This window comes from Homo sapiens, chromosome 1 (genome assembly GCF_000001405.40).
Source record: "Homo sapiens chromosome 1, GRCh38.p14 Primary Assembly".
NCBI lineage: Eukaryota > Metazoa > Chordata > Mammalia > Primates > Hominidae > Homo > Homo sapiens.
Window position 1 is genome coordinate 59905761 of NC_000001.11, and position 22424 is coordinate 59928184.

General features: G+C 39.6%; 1 protein-coding gene across 5 annotated transcripts in view, besides 2 other annotated features; it reads right to left on the reverse strand.

The window, feature by feature from the left end:
- CYP2J2 (cytochrome P450 family 2 subfamily J member 2) overlaps positions 1-22424 on the reverse strand; it is a 75905-nt gene that overhangs the window by 12453 nt on the left and 41028 nt on the right. For 3 of the 5 annotated variants that reach the window (NR_134981.2, NR_134982.2, NM_000775.4), the window contains exons 1-6: positions 20777-21013; positions 10178-10340; positions 6402-6551; positions 5848-6008; positions 4024-4200; positions 2026-2167 (exon numbers count right to left, since the gene is read on the reverse strand). Coding sequence is in view for 3 of the 5 variants with exons in the window: in NM_000775.4 (NP_000766.2) it covers positions 2026-2167; positions 4024-4200; positions 5848-6008; positions 6402-6551; positions 10178-10340; positions 20777-20986 (1003 nt within the window). In the remaining 2 variants the exon portion in view is untranslated. Of the gene's footprint in view, positions 1-2025; positions 2168-4023; positions 4201-5847; positions 6009-6401; positions 6552-10177; positions 10341-20760; positions 21014-22424 lie in introns of those variants that run through there. The other 2 variants (XM_047447498.1, XM_047447499.1) reach the window with 2 other exon arrangements.
- Positions 9105-10304: an enhancer, noted in NCBI's record as "MED14-independent group 3 enhancer chr1:60380537-60381736 (GRCh37/hg19 assembly coordinates)". NCBI's record gives its function as "activates an origin of replication core promoter dependent on BRD2, BRD4, P300/CBP and CDK7 cofactors, and independent of MED14, by STARR-seq in HCT116 cells {active_cell/tissue: HCT116}" and the evidence as "EXISTENCE:reporter gene assay evidence [ECO:0000049][PMID:35650434]".
- Positions 20361-20896: an enhancer, noted in NCBI's record as "H3K4me1 hESC enhancer chr1:60391793-60392328 (GRCh37/hg19 assembly coordinates)". NCBI's record gives its function as "activates a minimal SCP1, AML or CMV promoter by ChIP-STARR-seq in naive H9 embryonic stem cells {active_cell/tissue: H9 hESC(naive)}" and the evidence as "EXISTENCE:reporter gene assay evidence [ECO:0000049][PMID:30033119]".

A 22424-nucleotide genomic window follows, 5' to 3' on the forward strand; every position in this document is an offset into this window, starting at 1 on the left:
TTTGTGTGACCAGATAGGACTGCTCCCAGTTTCTTTCATTGGTTGAGTGCTCACCTAGCCAAAGAGAGAAACTGTAGCAGCCTTATCTCTTTTCTCTTTCTCTAGAGTAATAGAGATTTTAGCTGGAGACCTGACTGCCCAGCTAAAGAATATATTTTCCTCACGCTTGTAATCCCAGCACTTTGGGAGGCCAACGCAGGCGGATCACGAGGTCAGGAGATCGAGACCATCCTGGCTAACACGGTGAAATCCCATCTCTACTAAAAATACAAAAAATTAGCCGGGCGTGGTGGCGGGCGCCTGTAGTCCCAGCTACTCGGGAGGCTGAGGCAGGAGAATGGCATGAACCCAGGAGGCAGAGCTTGCAGTGAGCCGAGATGGTGCCACTGCACTCCAGCCTGGGTGACAGAGCGAGAAAAAAGAATATATTTTCCAGGTCCTATTGTAACTAAGTGTGACCATATTACTCAATTCTGGCTAATAGAATGTAAGCAGAAGTGATGTTTAATCCTTGGAACAGGTTCCTAAAGAAAGGATATGCACTTCCTTCCCCCTTTTGCTTCCTACTGGTGGAAAGCCTATTGGTGAGCCGTCTTACAGAGTGCTAACAAGGGCATCATTCTAATCACAACAGAGCAACAAGTTGGAAGGAGCTGGGAACCCTAATGGCTTTGCAAAGCCTAGTTTGGATTTTTTTTTTTTTACCTGAAAGCGAAATAAATTATCATTTTTGTAAAACATCTTATTTGGGGGTAAAATACCCATAACATAAAATTTACTATGTTAGCATTTTTAAATGAACAGTTCAGTAGTATTAAATATATTCACATTGTTAGGCAATCACTCTCCAGAACTTTTTCATCTTGCAGAACTGAGGCTCTATATCCCCTCCCTCAGCCTCTGGCCACCACCATTCTACTTTGTGTCTCTAGGAATTTCACTATTCTTGATAACTCATGTAAGTGGAATCATACAGTGCTTATCTGTTTGTTACTAGCCTTTTTAACTGAGCATGAACCTGGATGCATATACCTAAATATACATATAAAGCATACATTATGCAACTACAGATGAAAAAAATAAAGTTCTGTAAACAAACTTACCTTAGTACATGGGAAGCACTCTGATCTTTTCTATTTTTATCTTAAGAAAAAAATGTTGGTCTTGATTCACTAAATTGATTTTATGCCTCATTAATAAACAGTTACCCACAATTTGAAAAACTGTATTGTTAAGAGTTCCCACCCCCATATGTTCAAACTTTTCTGGAAGCTGGAGGAAGAAAAATAATGAGAACATCATTCTTGAGTGGACTATAGTCTGTGGGGAAGCTATATATAGATAATACATGATAAGCCTAGTAATAAAGGCACATTACATCATCTCTGGAGGGAGAAAATGCTAATAATTTCCTAGGGGAGCACAGAAACATCTTAGAGAGGTAGTACTTGAACAGATTCTTCAAGAAGAGCTAGGAGTTTACTATGTAGGAAAACTGGGCAAGTAGAGGGAAAAGCATCTATCACGACATAGAGGCATAAATATAGACTGCAAAGAAAGTGACGTGTCACTTAGTGAGGCCACCATGGAGGGTAGGTGCGGCCAAGGCTAGACAGGCAGAAGGGGCATATCGGAGGTTAACATATACCAGACTAAAGTGCTTGAACATTATTCTGGAGGAAATTGGAAGGCATCACTTAAAAGAAGGGAAGGACACAACTAGACTTTCACATCAGAAAGTTAACTGTTTCCTGGAACTATCTCAATGTCGACTGACTTCGTTGATTTCCCTCTTGCCTCTGAGCTTCTTGAGGACAAGGATTCTCTCTTACATTTGTATTACCTGGGCCCATCACAATTCAGACAGAAAATATGAAGAATGTGCAGTTTCCAAGTCCTCATCACTCATGACTGTTCTGCCTCTCTTTTCATCCTACAATGCTATCTTCTGGCCCCGACTTCAGGCAGCACATCCCAGGAGGCACTATTCTGTCCTGGTTCAGGCTTACTCACTGACATGCTCACCTTGGATTTCTGGGTAGAGGGCCATATAAAGCAGAGCCCATCGCAGAGTTGTGGAAGTTGTCTCGGTTCCGGCAAAGAAGAGGTCCAGGGTGCTGCAGATGAGGTTTTCTTCATGGAAACTTGAAGTAGGATTGCCTGTGTGCTAGAAAACACAATGTTTGATGTTATTTATTGGTTTATTCAGAGGATTCCTGATTGCCGTAACACAAAGGGGCTTCATCCTAGGAGGACATTTGGAAGAAAAGGTCCCCAAAAGAAACAATTTTCCCTTTGGCCTCTTCAGAAGGCAGACTCTTATTACAGCAATATCATTAGCATTGTCCTGCCCCAAGTGCTGGACACCTTTGGATGGATGAAAATCAAGACAATTATTTTCTTATGCCTATAATTTTGGGGAAGCTTTTAGTACAGTGAAAGGAGAATGGGATGTGAACGAGACAGATTTGGCTTCCAATATTAACCACTTCAATTAGCAGCTGTGTGACCTAGGGCAAGTCACTTAACCTCTCTGTTCTTCAGTTTCCTGTTTTATATACTGGAAATAGGAGTGCACACCTCTTAAGAGGGCATTATGAATTATATGAATGCAAGGACGCAGAGCAAATACTCAACAAACATTTGTACTGATAACAGAAAAGGCAAATGGAATTTCTCTTATGAACAACAATTCTCATATCTCTTCATTCACCTTTTTCTTTCCAATTTGAAACTCACTGATTCTACCAACCATTCCTCATGATACTCTGTCATCTTTACCATCATCTTCTGGAAACTTCAATTTGTCCAATGTTGCTCTTAATGTTAATGATCCCTTCCTTACCTGCACAACATATAGCGAGTCTCCTCCTCTGAGGAGAAAACAATACTTCTATAAATGTCATACCAATAAGGTGAAATAAGAGGGAAAGAAATCCACCATTCTTTCCACTCCAGAAGTAGGACCCAATTCCTGATGTGTAAAGATGACAGTATTGATGCAGTGATATGTGTTAACCAGAGGGGTAACTGTGTTAAAGGTCACGCATCCCATTTGGTTTCTTCCTCACCTCTGGCCTATAATGTTGGAAAGTGAAAGGTACAAAACAGAAGGGAAGGCAAAGTCCAACTCAGGCCTTAATAAAGTTGGCCTTTAAACTCTGGCATCCAACTCAGCTTTACTTGTGTTCTCTATGAGGGCTGCGAAAATGGTAGGTCATTGGGTCTAGGCCCAACTAATGATAGAACAGAGCTTTGAGGATTAACTGCTATGTTCCCCCTTTGTGTATACCTCCAAATAACAGTAAAGGGTAGGGGATGGGGGATGAAAGGGCTGTATTTGGGCATTCACAGGACCTCAAACCAAATGCTATTAACCCTTGTCTTTATCTCTAATTGCATCATCAATCCTGAGTTAATGCTACCCTACATTTTCTGAAATATTGCCCCTATTTTTACTCCTGTAGCAGGCTGAGTAATGACCCGCAAAGATATCCATTCACATCCTAATGTCTGGAACCTAGGGATGTTACTTTATAGGGAAAAAGGAACTTTGCAGATGTGGTTAAGGATTTTGAGATGGGCAGATTATCCTGGAACATTCCAGTGGGCCCAGTGTTATCATAATAGTCTTTATTAGAGGTAAATAAGAGGGTCAAAGTCAGAGAGAAAGTATGTCAGGATGGAAGCAGATACCAGAGAGAAGAGAAGATGCTGTGCTTCTGGCTTTGAAGATGAAGGAGGGGACCACAGGCCAAGGGACATAGGCGGCTCCTAGAAGCTGGGAAAGTAATAGAAACAGATTCTCCTCCAGCACCTCCAAAGAGATCCAGCCTAGCCAAAACCTTATCTGTAACCCAGTGAAGCTGATTTCATACTTCTGATATCTAGAACTGTGAGAGAATCAATCTGTGCTATTTTAGGCACCAAGTTTGTGATCATATTTTACAGCAGCAGTTGGAAACTAATATACCTCTATTTGTGCTCTAAGAACAAAATACAAAATGACTTTGGTTTTCTCACCTTTGACATTTCTTTAAGGTAAGCATCAATAAAGTCTCTTGTTTCTGCAGGATTCCAATCCTTTCTGTGTTTGTCAATCATATGAGAAACAAACAATTTCAGTTTTTTCCAGTTGCTGAAGAGAGTTTGGTGGGGTCCAGGCAGGAATTTCATTATCCATGGAAAGACATTGTAGAGCTAATTGAGAAAAACAAAACAATCATGCAGATAACATGGTGCCATTTTTTTCTTTTTAAGACAACAGAAACCATCTTCTCTTTCCGTCTCTTTTATTTGCTCACACTTAAACCTTGGTTATCCTTGACCCCTCTTTTCTCTCTCACCTCTCTAGCAAAACAGTTCAGCTCTCTGTCAAAAATATATCCAGCCTTGGACCATTTCTCACCACCGCAACAGCTTGCCACCAAAAAAAAATACTTATGAGACATCTGGGGACATCTGAGCACTGGTTGAGTGTTTGAAGGCATTAAATAACTATTGTTCATATTTTTCAGGCACAATGGTATTTTATTTTTGTTAAAATGGGTCTTTTTAGAAATATATGCTGAAATATTTATGTATCAAATAATTGAGGTCTGTAATTTGCTCCAAAATAATTCAGGGACAGTGGGAATGTGGTAGTAGGGCATAGATGCAGATACAGTGAAAATGGCCATGTGTTGATAATTGTTAGAGCTCACTGATGAGTATACACAGTGATTCATGATTGTATTCTTTTATACACATTTGTAATTTTCAAAAATAAAGTCATTTTCTTAAACCAAGGAAATTTTTAAAAATTTTGATAATGGCATACTGTGTAATTCAAGGGCACTCTTTCTACTGAGAACACCAAGAAAAGATGAAAAAGATACATGTGTAAACATTTAAGCACACATACATACAAATCAAGGTAGTGAGGTAGTTTCCAGGATAAGGCTTAGGGGAAGAAGAAAGCCCAGGGTATGAACTCAATACTTGGGGTCAACTTCTCCCCCCTCCCCCCAGCTCCCAGAAATGTCTTCCAAATTCCAAAAAGTGTCTGAGGAACCAAGAAACCGAGCAGAGTTTTTGACAAAGACTCAAAGGCTTAGAGGGACAAAAATTGTGGTGCAGGGCCCACCAAGGGAGAAGTGAGTTTGAACTCCAAACGGCTACACTCTATGGAATTAGAAGATTGATGATATTAAGTGCTGGTGGGCAGGCAAATAATGCAATGAGCTTGGCAATCTTTAAACTTCTTTTATCTCCAGATACAGATATAAAAAATATGAGTGGATGTAACCACAAGAACACTTGTACAAGAATGTTCATGGCAGCTTTATTCATAGCATCCAAAACTTGGAAACAAATGTCCGTCAGTACAGAACAGATTGACAAAAAGTGGCACATTCATACAATGAAATACTAATCTGCATTAAAAAAGAGCAACCAGCACAGATGACTCTCAAAGCAACTTGCTGAGGAAGAAAGAGGATACAGAAGAGAACCTCTGAGGGAGGAGGGAAATGGACGAGTTGGGGAAGGACACAGAGAGGAGAGACTCAAGGGCAACAGCAATATTGTTTTTCTTTTTAAAAAGAACAACATAGGTGGATAGGCGTATGTCATATAACATGTTGTACTTTACATGCATGTTAGAAATGGTTTTTGCATATAAATATTCCATATTAGTTAAAAAACTAAAGTCAATAGATTTATTTCAAATAAGTTTGTGTTGAAATTAGTTTTGAAAGGTTATATTTTAACTTCAAAAACCCAAAAAAAACTAAAAGGAAAAACCCATCTGTGGCTGACATCGGCCCCAATTTACTGAACAAAGATATGGAGAGACAGCTGCCTTACCTGGCATGTCTTTGAAGCCTCCAAGTATGTGACTTCATCTAGTAACTTCAGCAGCTGCTGAAACCAACTATCCTGGTACTCAAAGCGTTCTCCGAAGGTGATGGAGCAAATGATATTGGAAACTGCATTGTTGATCTTGAAATGAGGGTCAAAAGGCTGTCCTGAAGGTGGAGGAAGGGCAAGATGGATCCTTCTGATGGATTTGTCTCCATTTCCTACTGAGAGTCTACTTTACATGGCATAAGACATACCTAGTGCAGAACCATATATGAGGAGCTGGCCACATGACCTTACACTGCATCTGACATACAACAAGTATTCAGTCAACTCCAGGGAAGTCAAACTGCGGACCAGGGCTTAAATTCAGTAATGTGTTTAGTGCCCATCTTTGTGTATTTACTTCTAAAACTCTTTGAGGACAGAGTTGTTCACTGTTCTATCTTCCATTCCTAGCACAGTGCTGGGCATAGAACAAGCACTTACTCACTTAGTAAGTATCTGTCCAATGAACAAATGGGCCACAGTCTCTCACCTCTGTCATATGCAATGCTCACCGTTCTCCTCTTTTATTGCTTCAGTGAGGTGTTGGGCCTCCTCCTGAATGCGTTCCTCTAAGCTCTTCTTTCCTAAACCAAAGTTCCTTAGTGCTGTCAGAGTGAACCTTCTTTGCTCCTTCCATGCCTGGCCACTTGACATAATCAATCCTGGGAAAAAGAAAGTCAACATTACAGTATTCTGATTCCATAATATGAATATCCAGCAAATGATATGGGAATGTGTATCAGATGAAGGACAGGAGAAGATCATTAAGGCACTTGAAAACTGCCCAGAGAAATAATCCCAAAGCAATGGATATAATGGCTAATATTTACTGATTGCTTGCAATGGCAGGCACTTTAATATGCATTTTGTTGTGCATTATATAATTTAGTACTCATAGAAACTCTCTGGGATAGGTACAATTATTACCACCCCACACATTTTACTAATGAAAAAACTGAGGAACAAGGGATAAAGGATAAAATGCATTTTACAGGGTCTCACAGTAAGTAAGCAACTAAACAGGTATTCAATTTCAGGTCTGCCTTATTCCAAAGCCCATGCTTTGATTATTAGTTACATAAGTAAAGTTAAGTATTTATGTTATGCTAAACACTAGGAATGCACTAATGGTTAAGACAATGCCCATACTCTTAAAGAGGCTAAGGCTAAGAAAGGCTTTATAGGAGAGGTCCTATCTAACCTGGACATTAAAAGATGATGTAAGGAATCAAGAGATCAAGGAGGAGTGAAAGTTCCATACAGAAAGAAGAGTACAAGCAAAGAAAAAAAAATTTTGGTGTGTTTGACAGACCATCATTTGTTTTATAACACAGGTAATGCCATACTCCTTTCAATTTCTTCAATTCCAGAGCACTCCTCAACACCTTTTAATATCTGACTATGGCCTGCTCACCCACTGAATTGGTCCGGATACCTTTTGACCTCGTCTTACTTGCAGCAGCAGTAGACACTTCTTTCTTGAAATACTGCCTTCCAGTGGTGCTCAGGATACCACTGTCTCCAGATTTTCGTCCTAATTCTCTGCCAGCAACTTCCTATATATTTTGCTGGTTCATCTTCTATTAAATCTTGAAATGGTGGAGTTCTTCAGGAACTTCTTCTTCATCTAAAACCTCTTCTTTTTCTCACCCTATACTCTATTTCTGGGAAATCTTATCAACTCCTAAAATTTTAAATAACATCTATTGATAGTGACCATCTATTTCTGTCCCTGAGCTCCAGAAGCATATATACAACGCTGCCTGCCTCACTTTGCTGACTTAAAGGTATTTTGAATTCGGCATATCCATGATTGAACTCACAGTTTTCTCCATATGACTTTTCACCCATGCCCAACTAAACCAAATACCTTATACTCTTCTAAGTGTTCCTTCTTTCCATCATCTACCCATTTGAGTGTCACCTCAACACCTCCTTCTCCCTGCACCTACATCATCATGTCTTAAGAGGTGTACCTTCCTGGATATCTCAAATCCAGGTCTTCACTGCTACTATCTTGGACTAACCTACTGTTATTTCCCTACTGCTATTGGACCTTCCTAGCCTGAGCTACCACTGTCTGTAACCTAAAATGCTACAAAAGTCCCTTGCTCCTTTTCTTCTATTCTCTGAATGGCAGCCTAAATAAAACCTAAAAATATACAGTGTAAATATAATTCCCTTCTCTACTTAAAGCCATTCAAGAGCTTCCATTAATGTTAGGATAACAACTAGTGTCCTTAACAGGAACCTGCATGAACTATTCCTAGCCAAGCTCAGTAGCTTCATCTCCCTTTAATTATCTCCTTTTAATCCCCATGCTTGTCATGTTGGCCACCTTTCATTTCTTCAAGTTCCCTGTCCTTTTCATTTCAGGGGCTTTTCATTTTCTATTCTGTCTGCCAGATTGTTTCACCAGTTTATTAAATGAATATTTATTTACTTTTTCTGCATCCCAGGACTGCATTAATAAGTACATCCTGAACTTGACTTCATAACACTGTAGGCTTCTATTATAGTTAACTGATACTATTTTTCTTTCTGCATAGAATATAAACTACATAGGATATGGATTTTATCTATTCTTCTGACTGTTCCATCACTCATGCCTAGTACCATGCTTCACAAGGCAGATAATACAGTGAATGGATATAGAATTAACTGATGAAATATTTCTAAGAATTGAAAAGCACCTTGTAGGGTAAAGAAAGAGAGATCAGACTGTTACTGTGTCTATGTAGAAAGGGAAGACATAAGAAATTCCATTTTGACCTGTACCCTGAACAATCACTTTGCCCTGAGATGCTGTTAATTTGTAACTTTTCCCCAACCTCTTTGCCCCAATCTCTTTGCCCCAACTTTGAGCTCACAAAAACATATGTTGTATGGAATCAATGTTTAAGGGATCTAGGGCTGTGCAGGATGTGCCTTGTTAACAAAATGTTTACAAGCAGTATTCTTGGTAAAATCATTGCCATTCTCTAGTCTTGATAAACCAGGGGCGCAATGCACTGTGAAAAGCTGCAGGGACCTCTCCCCTGGAAGCCGGGTATTGTCCAAGGTTTCTCCCCATGTGATAGTCTGAAATATGGCCTCATGGGATGAGAAAGACCTGACCGACCCCCAGCCTGACACCCGTGAAGGGTCTGTGCTGGGGAGGATTAATAAAAGAGGAAAGCCTCTTGCAGTTGAGATAGAGGAAGGCCACTGTCTCCTGCCTACTCTTGGGAATGGAATGTTTCGGTATAAAACCCGATTGTACATTTGTTCAATGCTGAGATAGGAGAAAAACCACCCTATGGCAGGAGGTGAGACATGTTGGCAGCAACGCTGCTCTGTTACTCTTTACTCTACTGGGATGTTTGGGTGGAGAAAAGCATAAATCTGGCCTACGTGCATGTCCAGGCATAGTACCTTCCCTTGAACTTATTTGTGACACAGATTCCTTTGCTCACATGTTTTCTTGCTGACCTTCTCCCCACTATCACTCTGCTCTCCTGCCGCATTCCTCCTGCTGAGATACTGAAAATAGTAATTAATAAATACTGAGGGAAGTCAGAGACCGGTGCCAGTGCAGGTCCTTGGTATGCTGAGCGCCAGTCCCCTGGGCCCACTTTTCTTTCTCTATACTTTGTCTCTGTGTCTTATTTCTTTTCTCAGTCTCTTGTCCCACTTGAGGAGAAATACCCATAGGTGTGGAAGGGCTGGCCCCCTTCATACCTAAAAGTGGTGATTTAATAGAATAATAGATTTGAGATTTTCATTTCAATTTTTAAATGTTTCATTATATTTAATGGTAATTTTAAGTGTTCATGCCAATCTGTTCATGCCAATCTGTTCTATCATAGACCAGAAGGCTCAAGATCCTCTGTGTGACACAACCTTAATGAAAGAGAATAAGGAAATAGAGACAGGAAGAAGCAGCAGCAGGAGGAGGAAGATCCACATCCATTTTCCTAAGGAGAGAGGGTTGGAAGAGGAAAACAGAGAGAACACGTTCCTCTGCTATAAATGGGTAACATGGTTACTTCATTATAAAAGCATCCAGAGTAGGTTTGGGCAGGGCATGTGGTTTCTCCCAAATCCCAGTGAGGGATGATCTTATCAAATCTTCTCAGGGAGTGACTTCAATCAGGAAATGTGAATATCCAGCTTTCTTTAGTGGCAGGAAGTTTATTATGGGGCTGGTTTCTAGGAGTGTTGGAAAATTACAGTCACCAAGGTGCCTTTAACAGATTATAGGACTATCAACATCAAACACTCACCTTTCGTTGGCCAAGAAACTTACCATTTTTCTTAAAGATATGTTCTCGCATAGGGGTCACGGGGCGGTTCCCAAAGTTTTGGTCCATGTGGATAAGGGCTTCTTTGATTAAGGGCAAGCCAGTAATAAGAACTGCAGATATGTCACCAAGCTCCAAGCTAAAAAGGTTCCCATATTTCTTCACAAACTGAAAAATAGTTAAATCGTAACAGTTGAATATGCACATGTCCATGTGTTCAGAAATGGAGGATGTGTGTAGCTGGAGGGGATCATATTGAGAGGAGTGCGTGTGTCTGTGTCTGTGTGTGTACGTGTGTGTGTGTGTGTGTGTGAGTGAGTGTACATTGGTCTCATGGGAATGCTTTTATTTCCTTTTCTCCTTCTCTCAACAAGGCTCAGATTCAATTCACTTCAGAATGTGAATGTTTCTTTATAAATATCTATTTATGTATTCAACCAACATGAACTGAGTGAGCATCTATCATGTGTCCCTAGAGCAAGGCATGAGGATAAAACTGTAATAAAATAAATAAGTTCTGGCCATGTGCAGTGGCTTACGCCTGTAATCCCAACACGTTGGGGGGCCGAGGTAGGCAAATTGCTTGAGCCAAGGAGTTCGAGACCAGTCTGGGCAACATAGTGAGACCCTGTCTTTACAAAAAAATAAAAATTAGCTGGGTATGGTGGTACATGCCTGTGGACCCAGCTACTCAGGAGGCTGAGGTGGGAAGGTCACTTGAGCCTGAGAGTTTGAGCCTGCAATGAGCCATGATCGTGCCATGGCACTCCAACTTGGGTGACAGAGTGAAAGCCTGTCTCAATATATAGACATAGTAAACAAGATTTCTAACCCCAAGCATCCTAGAGTCTAGTGAATAGAGAGAATTCAGCACATCTGAATTCTCACCTGAACACTAATCATGTCTCAGCCACTTAAGAAGGCTGAGACATGATTAGTGTTAATCTGGTGTACCAAGTATGGACTTCTTAGTAAATCATAACTATCTGTTTAACCAAATGAGAATGCCCCCTTCCTAGACTGGGCATAGATAATAGAAACGTATGCTAGATAATACGAGGTGCATTTTAGGGCAGGTGCCAGGCATGGAGGAAAGCCCTCGAGCTCTGGAGTTATGTGACAATCTGGGCTGTATAGTTCAATCGTTTTCGGCTCTTGCGGAAGTTGCTTTATTTTTTGAGCCTCAACTCCCCAGCTATAAAAGGGAGAAAATTATTCCTCTCTCTTAAGGTTCTGTGAGGAAGAATGAGAGCAGCAATGTGAAAGGCACTTTGTTTTCTTGTTCCAGGCGCACAGCCACCCAGCGAGTCTCCGAGGAATGAAAGAGCTCTGTGTGCAGAGGGCCGTGGATGCATTCTTATGGTGGCAAAGGGGACAGGAACCCACTGGTGTGTGGGAAGAAGGCACTCATGGTCATAGGCAGCCATTGCTAAGCACCTTTCATATTTTATCTCATTAATCTCACAACCACCTTACAGTAGTAATAGTTCTTATCTTTCAAGACAGAAAATGAATTATAGCTGAAACAACACAGCAAAGGTGACAAAGCTATTGAGTGGTGCAGGGAATTTCCCAGGCATTATGTAAGATTTGAGGACAAAGACGTGAGCCCAAGATGGCTCCAGAACCTGAGTGACAGAGTTTAGTGGGAGTGACAGAGTGAAAGTAAGAATGAGTGAGAGTGAGAGAGTTGGGGTGGGAGAGAGGGAGAATGGGGATGTGTATGTTCATGAATGTGCACAAGTGTGCAAATATCTGCAAATGTAGGTTGGAGGACAGTGTATGGTCACGAATCAAAATCCTTCCTAATGTATCTGTTCAACAGAGGGTCCCAGGTAGACCCTGCCCCTGCCTTTTTTCTGCCTGGGTTGTGTCTAGCTGCAGGCAGTGGTAACAATCCGAAGGGCTTCATTTCCTTTAGGTGTTTGTGGCCTCTTCTCCACAATCCAGATGCCTTTGCACTTACACTCCACCATATTCCTCTTAGAGTCCTGTTCCTAATGGTCCCCATCGGAGCAAATACAGTGGATTCAGTCTTATCCCACCACCTTGCTCCCACATTAAAGTCCAAGCCTGAACTCAGTCCTTGTATTCTTTTGGCCCAGAGTCCTCCATCAGTCCTTATCTCCTACACAGCATGTCCTGTCTTGCTAGGAAAAGCAGAGCTGAGATTCAATCTCAAGTCAGTTTGCTCCTAAAGTAAGCATCTTTGCTTCTAAGAAATGGCAGTAATGGGACCATACACATTAAGCAATTTTTTTAATGTACCCTTGCTGAATTCCTGGATGAACTTCTTAGGCCTGACAAGAAGGATTTCTTGACTAATTTAGGACATTAAATAAGGATGTTTTTGGAAGAGCTGAAAAATCTCAGGTTAAAAATGACTTCTAACTAGCAAAGTATACAGCCTAGAATCTTAGCTTGTACTTGGGAGGGATTCAGAACTCCATTACTATTTACTGAAATAAACTTCCTAAGAATTTTATCTCTACCAACTCTCTGCCACTGCATATTTCGAATTAAACAGAACTAGATAAAAAACTTGTATGGTATTATCAACTGTTTAAACACGGGGTAGGAGCCCTGGGATGAGGATGGCGATGTCTAACAATTCTTACGTGCACCCTGTCAGTCATTTTATCCATTTCTTTAGAAAGATTAAATGACCCAGAGGGCCTCTGAGAAGACTTTGTAAGGCAGGGCACACTTTTCAATTGTATATCATTAAATGAGCCACGAAAAAAAAAAAACCTTAACAGAATAAAACAAAAGGAGATAAAAATAAGATGCCTTTTGAAAGGCAAAAACAGTCTTAAAATCAGAAATGAAAATAGAAAAAGAAAAGAACTGAAACAGAATCTATAAAAGTCAAACAAAAGCAATAGGAGACAGGAAATGTAATGCTAGGAATAAAAATTCCAAATGTAGCATAAGCATTTAAAAAAGGGTGGAACAAAATAAATGTTTACAGTAAAGAGGAAGAAGTAAAGGATTAGTGGGAGAAGAGACTGAACTATTGAACCATGGCTACCAAGAGATATAAAGTTTACAGAGATTCCACTGAATCTAAGTTCTTAAATTTAATAACCAACAGAACAAAGACATGAAAAGAGGAAAAGAAAAACAGAAAAAGAGTGTACTAATTCACACTCCTACCAGCAGTAGGTCAGAGGGTCTGTTCCCCTGAGCTGTGCCTCTGTGAGTGTGTGTGACAGCGAGAGAGAGAGAGAGATCCTAAGAGGCACAAAAATGCATGCTGTTTCTATATTTCTCTGAGGTTTAACATCTGTCCCTCAATCTGGATGTTGTATTTTTAAAGTCGTATGTTTATGTCTTTCAAACATTTCTGTATCAAGGTATTCAACTTTTTTCTCATTGATAACGTGGAATTTCTAATAAAAAGTTGGAAATATAATTTTATTTTCACTTACATACAAATCTGGAAAGATATCCACCAAGGTCCTATAGAGGTACCGCTGAGTGTATGTGTGTGTGTGCACATGTGCACGTGTGCACGCATGCACAGTGGTGGCAGGATAGGCACAAAGACAGGTAAGATTCTCTCTCTCCTTAAACTGTATTTTAATATGTTGTCTCACTGTGTATGTATTGTTGCCTTTACAGTCAAAAAGCTTTTTTATCCAATAAAGAAAAAAAAATAAACAAGGAAATGGGAAATAAAGCTTTAAAACAGTGGTTCTTTACTTTTTTGAGTTATAGAATCCTTTGAAAATATAATGTATATGATAGACCTGATCTCTAGTAAACACATACACAGCTATACACATAAAGAGCTTTGCATGCAGTTTCAGGAGTTACCAGTCCTCTGGGGCCCATGAACTCCTTCCAAGAATAATGGTCTCACAGGTAGTTCTTGGGGCTGCGCTGGTTTCTGAGAACAGGCTGTGGAGATTAAATTCATGTTCAATTTAACAGGCTTTTATGAGATGCTTAAGAGTTGCCAGGCACCTTCTGGCACTGGCATATCATACATGGAGGTAATACAAAGATCAATATGATATGATGTGTTCCTAAAGTGTCAAAGTCTCTTGGGAGAGACTGACTGTGCAGAAAAAAAATGGAATGCACAGCAGATGACATGTGTTATTATGCTGATAGAGAGGGACATAAAGCTATCGCAAGAAGAGATGATTTTCCACCACAGATATAAGAAAAATATCTTTTTAAAGAGTAGATGGTATCTGAGCCAGATCTTAAATGAAAGTCAGGATGCCACCAAAAAACAGACAAACAAAAACCAACAACCCCCAAACCACAATGATAATAAAAAACATGTAGTAAGAAATCAAAGGCATTCTAGATGGTGAGAACACCATATACAGATGTAAAGGGGAAATGCAGAAGGTGTTTGGGAGCAAGAGAGCTACCTTGTCTGACTGAAGCATAGGGTTCATTATTTAAAGAGCACTGACCATGTGGCAGGTCAATGCCAGGTGCTGGGGAGTGCAACAAGTCCTTCACTTCAAGAAGCTAACAATCTAATGGAGCATATAGATAAATAATCACTTCTCATTATTATCATTCTTTACAATAAAATATTTGATGGGAGGAAGTTAAGAACCACATAAGAGGACCAGGGTTGAGGAAGGCTCCTGGGAAAAGCATCTTCTCAGTTGATAAGGGAGATGGGAGACAAGGCTGACAAGGTAATCTGAGCTAGGCTGAGGAGAGTCTTAATATCAGGTATAATATTTTGGATCTTGTTTGGTTTTCAATCAGAATTCTAAGATGTTTGAGTAGGGGAGGTGATGTAAGGGAGTGCTTAAGAGTTTGGATTTTGAAATTATACAAACTTGTTTGAATCCAGGTTCTGCTTCTTAGTTTCTGTGTGATTTGGGAGAAAGTTATTTAACTTTTCTCTGTCTTAGTTTCCAAATTTTATAGACTTTATTAGTTCCCATGTTTAGTATTGTTGTGATAAGTAATCATAATACTAAAATTAATAATAAAATTATTATGGCTCAGACCATTTTCCCCTATTAAAAATCTTCTGTCCCTTTACTCCATTTAGCCACTTGCCAAAAATCAAAATTTCCTTTAAAATTTAGCCCAATTTCTTCCAACATTCTACAAAAGGTTATCCCCAGGGTTTCCATTCAGTGATCCAATCTCCTTATATCTCATTTGGTTACCAAGAGTGTACAGTATACATTTAGTCATATACAGCCTTGTATTTTGCCTGGCATATGATAAGCACTTAATAAATGTCTGTTGAGTGAATAAACATGTGAGTACATCAATTGTCCTCTAACCATGTCATGAAAAGTCAGGCAACATAAAGTAGATAATGGGTATATGTAGGGAGACCCCCTGAAACTATTGTTACGGAATAAAAGATGAAATGCTCCTGATTATTGTAAATGCAAAATTGCATGCAGGATTGTGTAAAGACAATGCCAGGTTGGGCTGCCAGAATGAGCCAACAGTGCCTGATGTGCTTCCCCCTGTAGAGAGCCTATAAATGGACATGCAGTCAGGGAGGTTTCACATCACCAAGATTCCTATCCCAGAAAAGCAGATGATCATAGCTCTGGGAATGGAATGCAACCCTTGTGGAGAGCCTATAAATGGACCCATGAGGGGCACCTGTTCACATGGATAAGATAGGGTTATAAACGCCCTTATCTTGCCACGGCTCTTCTAGGTCTCTTTAGGGTTAAGGCATACTCCCTTCTGAGAATTTTTGGTCTAACCGGTTGTCTAGCAAAAGCTGGTTGCAAACAATCAGTAGAAACAGGACGTGAAGCTAGACAACCGGTTAGACCAAAAATTCTCAGGAGTATGCCTTAATCCTAAAGAGACCTAGAAGAGCCATGGCAAGATTAACCATGCTGATTAATATCTTGCTAATCATAGGTTATGGATAGACTGTGTTTCTGTTCTAAGGCTCTGTTAGAAATTGCTGATGCACACACTATATTGTAAATTCTTATCTCTGTATACTGTACTTCTGCATACTGATGTTAAAGAATTACTTCATCCCCATGTGACCATCTCACCTCATAATCAAACAACCCTAAATCCCTCACTAACCTACCCCCATCCTCACTAAACTTAATAATAAATGCTGGTATATCCAGCGCACTGGCGGCATCGCAGGTCCAGAAGGTCGTGACCCCCCTGGACCCAGCTTTCACTATCTTGTGTGTATCTTTTATTTCTCGACCTGCCGATCCACCTGGGAACAAAGAAAGAGCCCTGTTGCACTGCAGGCTGCTGGCCAGATCCCACAATAGGTATACAAATCAAATAGTCTCGGGCTCAAATCCTTATTTGTTATTATTTAGCTGAATAACCCGGGCAGTTCACTGTTCGTTCTCAGTCATTTTGCTCCATGGTAAAATGGAAGCACCACCAGATCATACCTAACTTGTGTGCCCATCATGAAGATGAAATGAAAACTGACATAAAAATACTTATGTAAGATCTATTAGTTAGTACTTAATGTTTCCCAATTGCAAGAATGTAAATTTAATTATAACTAAATTTCATAATTTAACTCCATTTGTTTTACACCCAGAAACATAAAAATGCAAACCTATATAAAATAAAAATAAATGATGACAGTGTGATAAGAAAATCACAGGGCCAAGGATGAGATCCCAGTCTCAGTTTTGTCACTGGCTAGTTTTGTGACATTAGGCAAGTCATTTAACCCCTCTTTTAACACCTATCTTAGGAATACAACAAAGGTGCAGATCAAGCTTCTTATTCCAGATAAGGTTGAAAAAAAGCATTCCATTTTACTTCTATTAATCATGACACCAATTAACACAGACAAAAATATCTTTAAGAAAAGTCTACTCTCTCTAGCCAAAGGACCAGGAAAAGGAAAACCCAACAGGACAGAAACCATTTAGCCTTTTTACTTCTTTGTTGTGGAGGCAAATACCATGAAAAACATTTGACCCTTCCCAACTCTAAAAGGTCCTATAGCACTGGAGTACATGGATAGTACCTTGTCTTTCAGCCTACTTTGCAATAATGAGGTAGTACCCTTCTCTGCTGAGTCTGTGAGCTGAATTGCGACTTCTATTCCTAAGCTGAAGTAAAGAAACTCCCTGCAGGAGTCAGAGGGCAAATTAGGCTTTCCAGCCTTCTTCTACAGTAATAAGGAGGTGCACTTCCCCTTGGAGGAGATATAGGCAGATCTCTGACTCTCTTCCCTCCGTAGTAAAGCATAAGCTACTATGCCAGAGGGATCCCTGTCTTCTGTTCCATCTTCCTTTTCCCCAGCTTGCACTGATGAGAATGTGAGATGGGCTCCTGTGGGAGTGGGTAATAAAAGTGGAGTAGACCAGAATAGCACTGCAGAGGCTTTATAACCTGCATTGATATTTGAACTGCCACCCACAAAAGTGAGCATTCAGAATCTAAATAGGCTATATGCTAAAATAAAAGATCTGTATAGTATCCAGGGTAAGTCTTATAACAAATATATAAAATGTCCAGGATATAGTCCATAATTACTCACCTTACCAAGAATCAAGAGAACATCAATTGAGTGAGTTGACACCAACAGTGAGATGACACAGATGTTAGAAATATAGAATAATTAAATATTTAAAAGCAGCTGTTATAAAGCTTTTCCAATAACTATGAATAGTCTCAAAACAAACAAAAAATTAGGACATTTTAACAAAGAAATAAAAGATAAAGAAGAACCAAGTGAAAGTTTTAGAACTGAAAATACAATAGAATAAATTTTAAAATTCAGTAAAATAGCTCAATAGCAGAATGGTAATGATAGCAGAATCTGTGAATTTGAAGACAGCTCAGAAGAACATATTCAAACTAAACAACACAGAGAAACTACATTGGAAACAACAAAAACAGAGTTTCAAGAACTCGTGGCACAACAAGAGACCTAACATTTGTGCCATCAGTATCCAAGAGTCCAAGAAAGAGAGGAAAAAGAATGTGTAGTTGAAAAATATTTGAAGAAAGAGTGGCAGAAGCTCCCTCAAACTGGCAAAAGAGAAATCTATATTTTCAGAAACCCAAACAGGATAAACCCAAAGAAAGTAGCACCAAGATCTATCATAACTAAACCTCTGAAAATTAAACAAAAACAAAAACAAAGAAAATTTCTTGAAGGAAGGCAGTGAGAAAAAGTTCATTACATATGGGGGATAACAATTCAGATGACAGTAGATTTCTTAACAGAAACCACAGAGGCCAAAAAGAAGAAGCATAAACTTTTAAAATGTTGAATGAAAGGAATTGTCAACCTAGAATTCTATGTCCAGTGTAAATATACTTCAGAAATGAAGGTGAAATAAATACATTCTTAGATGAAGGAAAGCTAAGAGAATTTCTTGCCAGTACACCTGCACTAAAAGAATATCTAAAGATAGTTCTTCAGATCTGAAAGGATATGATAAGCTTGTAACATCAGAAATGAAAAAAGATAAATGAAAAGGGTAAATAAATGAGTAAATACAATAGACTATTATTCTCTTGAGTTTTCAAAATTGCATTTAACATTCAAAAGCAAAATTATAATATTATCTGATGTAGTTCTCAATGTATATAGAGATAACACTTACAACAATTATGAAGTAGAGAGGGTAAAGGAACCTAAATGGTTGCAAGATATCTATATTTCACTTGAGGTAGTAAAATTTTTACACTAATAGACTGCAATCAGCTACATCTGCATATCGTAATCCTTAGAGCAATCACTTGTAAAACATAATACAAACAGAGCTGCTAAAAAACACCTCAGATAAATAAGAATAAAATTATTTTTAATATGTTCAAGTAATTCACAGGAAGATAGGAAAAGGAAAACAGAGGCATAAAAAACAGGAAAAACAAAATAAATAATAAAATGGTAGACAAATCTTAATATGTCAATAATTACATTAAATATAAATAGTCTACATTCACCAATTAAAAGACAGAGATTGCCAGAATGAAAAAAAAGACCCAAGTATATGCTGCCTTCAAGAAACTAATTTCAAGTATAATAATACAAGAAGGTTAAAAGTTAAAGAATAGAAATGCATATACCATGCACATACTAATCAGAAAAAAAGTTGTGGCTATATTATATCAGATAAAGTACAGTTTAGGCAAATAAAATTATGAAGAATTAAGAGGGACATTACAGGATAAAAGGATCAATTCACTAAGAAGACATGATAATCTTAAATGTGTATGTGCAAAACAACAGAGTTTCTAAATACATGAAGGAAAAACTACTAGAACTGAATGGAGAAATAGATACTCTCAACTGTCCTTTGAAACTTCAACATTCTTCTTTCAGTAATTGATAGAATAAGTAGATAACAAGTCAACAAGGATATAGGCAAACCAAACAATATCATTACCCAGTAAAATCAAATTGATATTGATATCAATTACTTCACCCAACAATAATTTATATCAATTATTCCACCCAACAATAGTCAAATACATATTTTTTCCAGCCTCCATGGCACATTTATCAAGATAGACTATATCTTGTGTCATTTAATCAACCTTAACATATTTAAAAGAACTGAAATTGTACATAGTATGATGTTTGACCACAATGGAGTCAAACTGGAAATAATTAACAGAAATGATAACAAGAAAATCTCCACATACTTGGAAATTAAACAACATATTAATTAAATAAGGACACAGGTTTGGGGGCTTAGTTTTAACATTCTGTGGCTAATTCTGTCACTTAGTATTACCAATTGGGTATTTCTCCCATAAAGTGATAAAACTTTGTCTATCAATATTTGAGGGCAATATACAGCCATGTGTTTAAAGTACTGCAGGCATGTGCAGGGAAAGGGGAACTACTATTTGTTATGTACCAACTATATGTCAGTATTGACCATTCACTATTTTATCTAATCTTCATAATCACTTGTCACACTGTTGTCTCTCAGCAAGTTACCTGTGCTGAGTGGCAGGAAAACCAGTATTGGTTTCTTGAGATAGGGTTTGATGTCTGAGAGAACTTGAAAGAACTTGGTCACCAGAGTCGGGGAGCCCTGATAGGAGATTATTGTATAGAGACGGAAAGAAGCTGCATCAAGAAGGGTCCCAGGTGGTTCAGTCAGGAGTCTGAACACCGTTTGGCAAAAATTTAAGCAGAGGAAGAACATTTTAAAATTATTACTTAGTGAGAGTGCACTGCAAGGGAAGGAGGTTGAAGCTGGAGGGCTCAGTTAGTGTAGTGGGAATAACTCAGTTGAGAAATGATCAAGATTGAGGTAGTATTATCACCATTTTATGTATGGGAAATGAAGTTTCTCAGAAAGAAAGTATAGCATTTTTAAGGACAATCATATAAAAGAGGGCAAGGTAATCACATTACAAGTAAGGTGTTCCAGTAATGTTTAACATGACAACATGCAAATAGTAAACATTTAATAATATTCCATCCCTAGAAAGTGCAGGTGGAATCATGCCAGTTAATGGGTTAGGAAATGAAACTCAAAGTGGGTTTTACCAGGTTACCAGCGTTAGCCACACCTCTTCCTGCCCTTCATCCCCCACCCCACCCACGTTGCCGGAACGTCCCTTGTGCTGCAGAACAGAGTTAGGGTCAGGACACGCTAGGCACCTTCTCCCACTCCTACCAGCTGAACCTCCAGGTGCGACTGCTCGAAGTCCACAAGGAAGAAGTTGCCAAGGAAGGGCAGGCGCCAGGGCCCCGGCGGGTAGTTCTTTGGGCGCCGTCTTTTGAGAAAGTCAGCAGCGAGCAGAAAGGCGACAGTGCCCAGTAGGAGAGTCCGAGGATGGACCACTGCCCAGAGGGCAGCCGCCAGAGAGCCCATCGCCGCGAGCATGGCTCAGACGTCCTCCTGCTCTTCTGCGGTCCAAGCAGGCGGCGGTCCCAGCAGGCGACGGTCCCCGCCCCGCCTCGCTCCCAGCCGTGCCCCGCCTCCCAGCCCGCCCCTTCGCAGCACCCTGCGAAGATGCCAGGCGCTGGATTCCCGGGAGGACACGCACCGGTCTCAGAAAAGGCCAGGCTAGGAGCAGTTTCTTTTCTATTTAGAAAGCTCATGGGTTTACTGAGAGCGCCACAGACATTTGAGCCTCTGTTCGGTTCAATCACCGTCTCTCCTATGATTGGAACTGTGCCTGGTAAACAGCGATAACAACAGCAGTACCTAACATTTCTTGGGCTCTTACTATATGCCAGGCAGCACATCCGCCTCTTTACATAGATTATTATTTCATTTTGACAAAATTATGAAGGAGAAGCTCTCGGTAGTCTCATCTTGCTGTTGAGGAAACAGAAAAGTTAAGTACTAAGTATGTGGTGAACAAATAAATCCACCCTTCTGAAACACATCTAAACGAGGTCCTGTATTTGAAAGTGTCTGGAAGATTAAAAGGCACTACACCAAAGCTGCTAGCACTGAGCAGCAGCCATAATAAGTGCTTAATTAACATTTGTTGAAGGAATGTCTTAGTTCCGATCCTTGCTGGTTTGCTCTATTAGGCTCCTCTCCAAAGCCCCAAGACTGTGGGACCTCCAGGTTCCAGCCTTTCATACCATCTGGTGAGTGCCTGCTTGGGTTTCACAAATGGTGAGACTGAAAACATGAAACATAGCTCAGGAATAGTATAGTACACACTCATGTACTCAACATAGAGTCACATATTCTGCTTACAATATTTTATTTTATTTCTTTATTTTTGAGACAGAGTCTTGCTCTGTCGCCCAGGCTGGAGTTCAGCTCACTGCAACCTCCACCTCCCGGGTTCAAGCGATTCTTCTGCTTCAGCCTCCCATGTAGCTGGGACTACAGGCACATGCCACCATGCCCGGCTAATTTTTGTATTTTTGGTACAGATGGGGTTTCGCCGTGTTGGTCAGGCTGGTCTCAATCTCCTGACCATAGGTGATCTGCCCACCTCAGCCACCTAAAGTGCTAGGATTACAGGTGTGAGCAAGAAATGAAATGAGAGTTGAAGTCTCTTGTTCTCTTTCTAAGGTCCAGAGAGAAATACTAGTCAGAGCTTAGCTTTTATCCTTCTAGTCCACATTTTCCTGTTTTACTACAGCTGTTATGCATCCATACAATATTTCTAATATTTATATATGATATTTTTACACGAATTATTCTACAACTCAGTATTATGTGTTTGAGATTTATCCTGACTGATATATGTGGCTCTAATTCACTTAATTTAATAGATGGATAGTATTCTATTACTATGCCACAATTTATTTGCTCATTCCCGTATCAGTGGACGTCAGGTTTGTTATATCTCTCC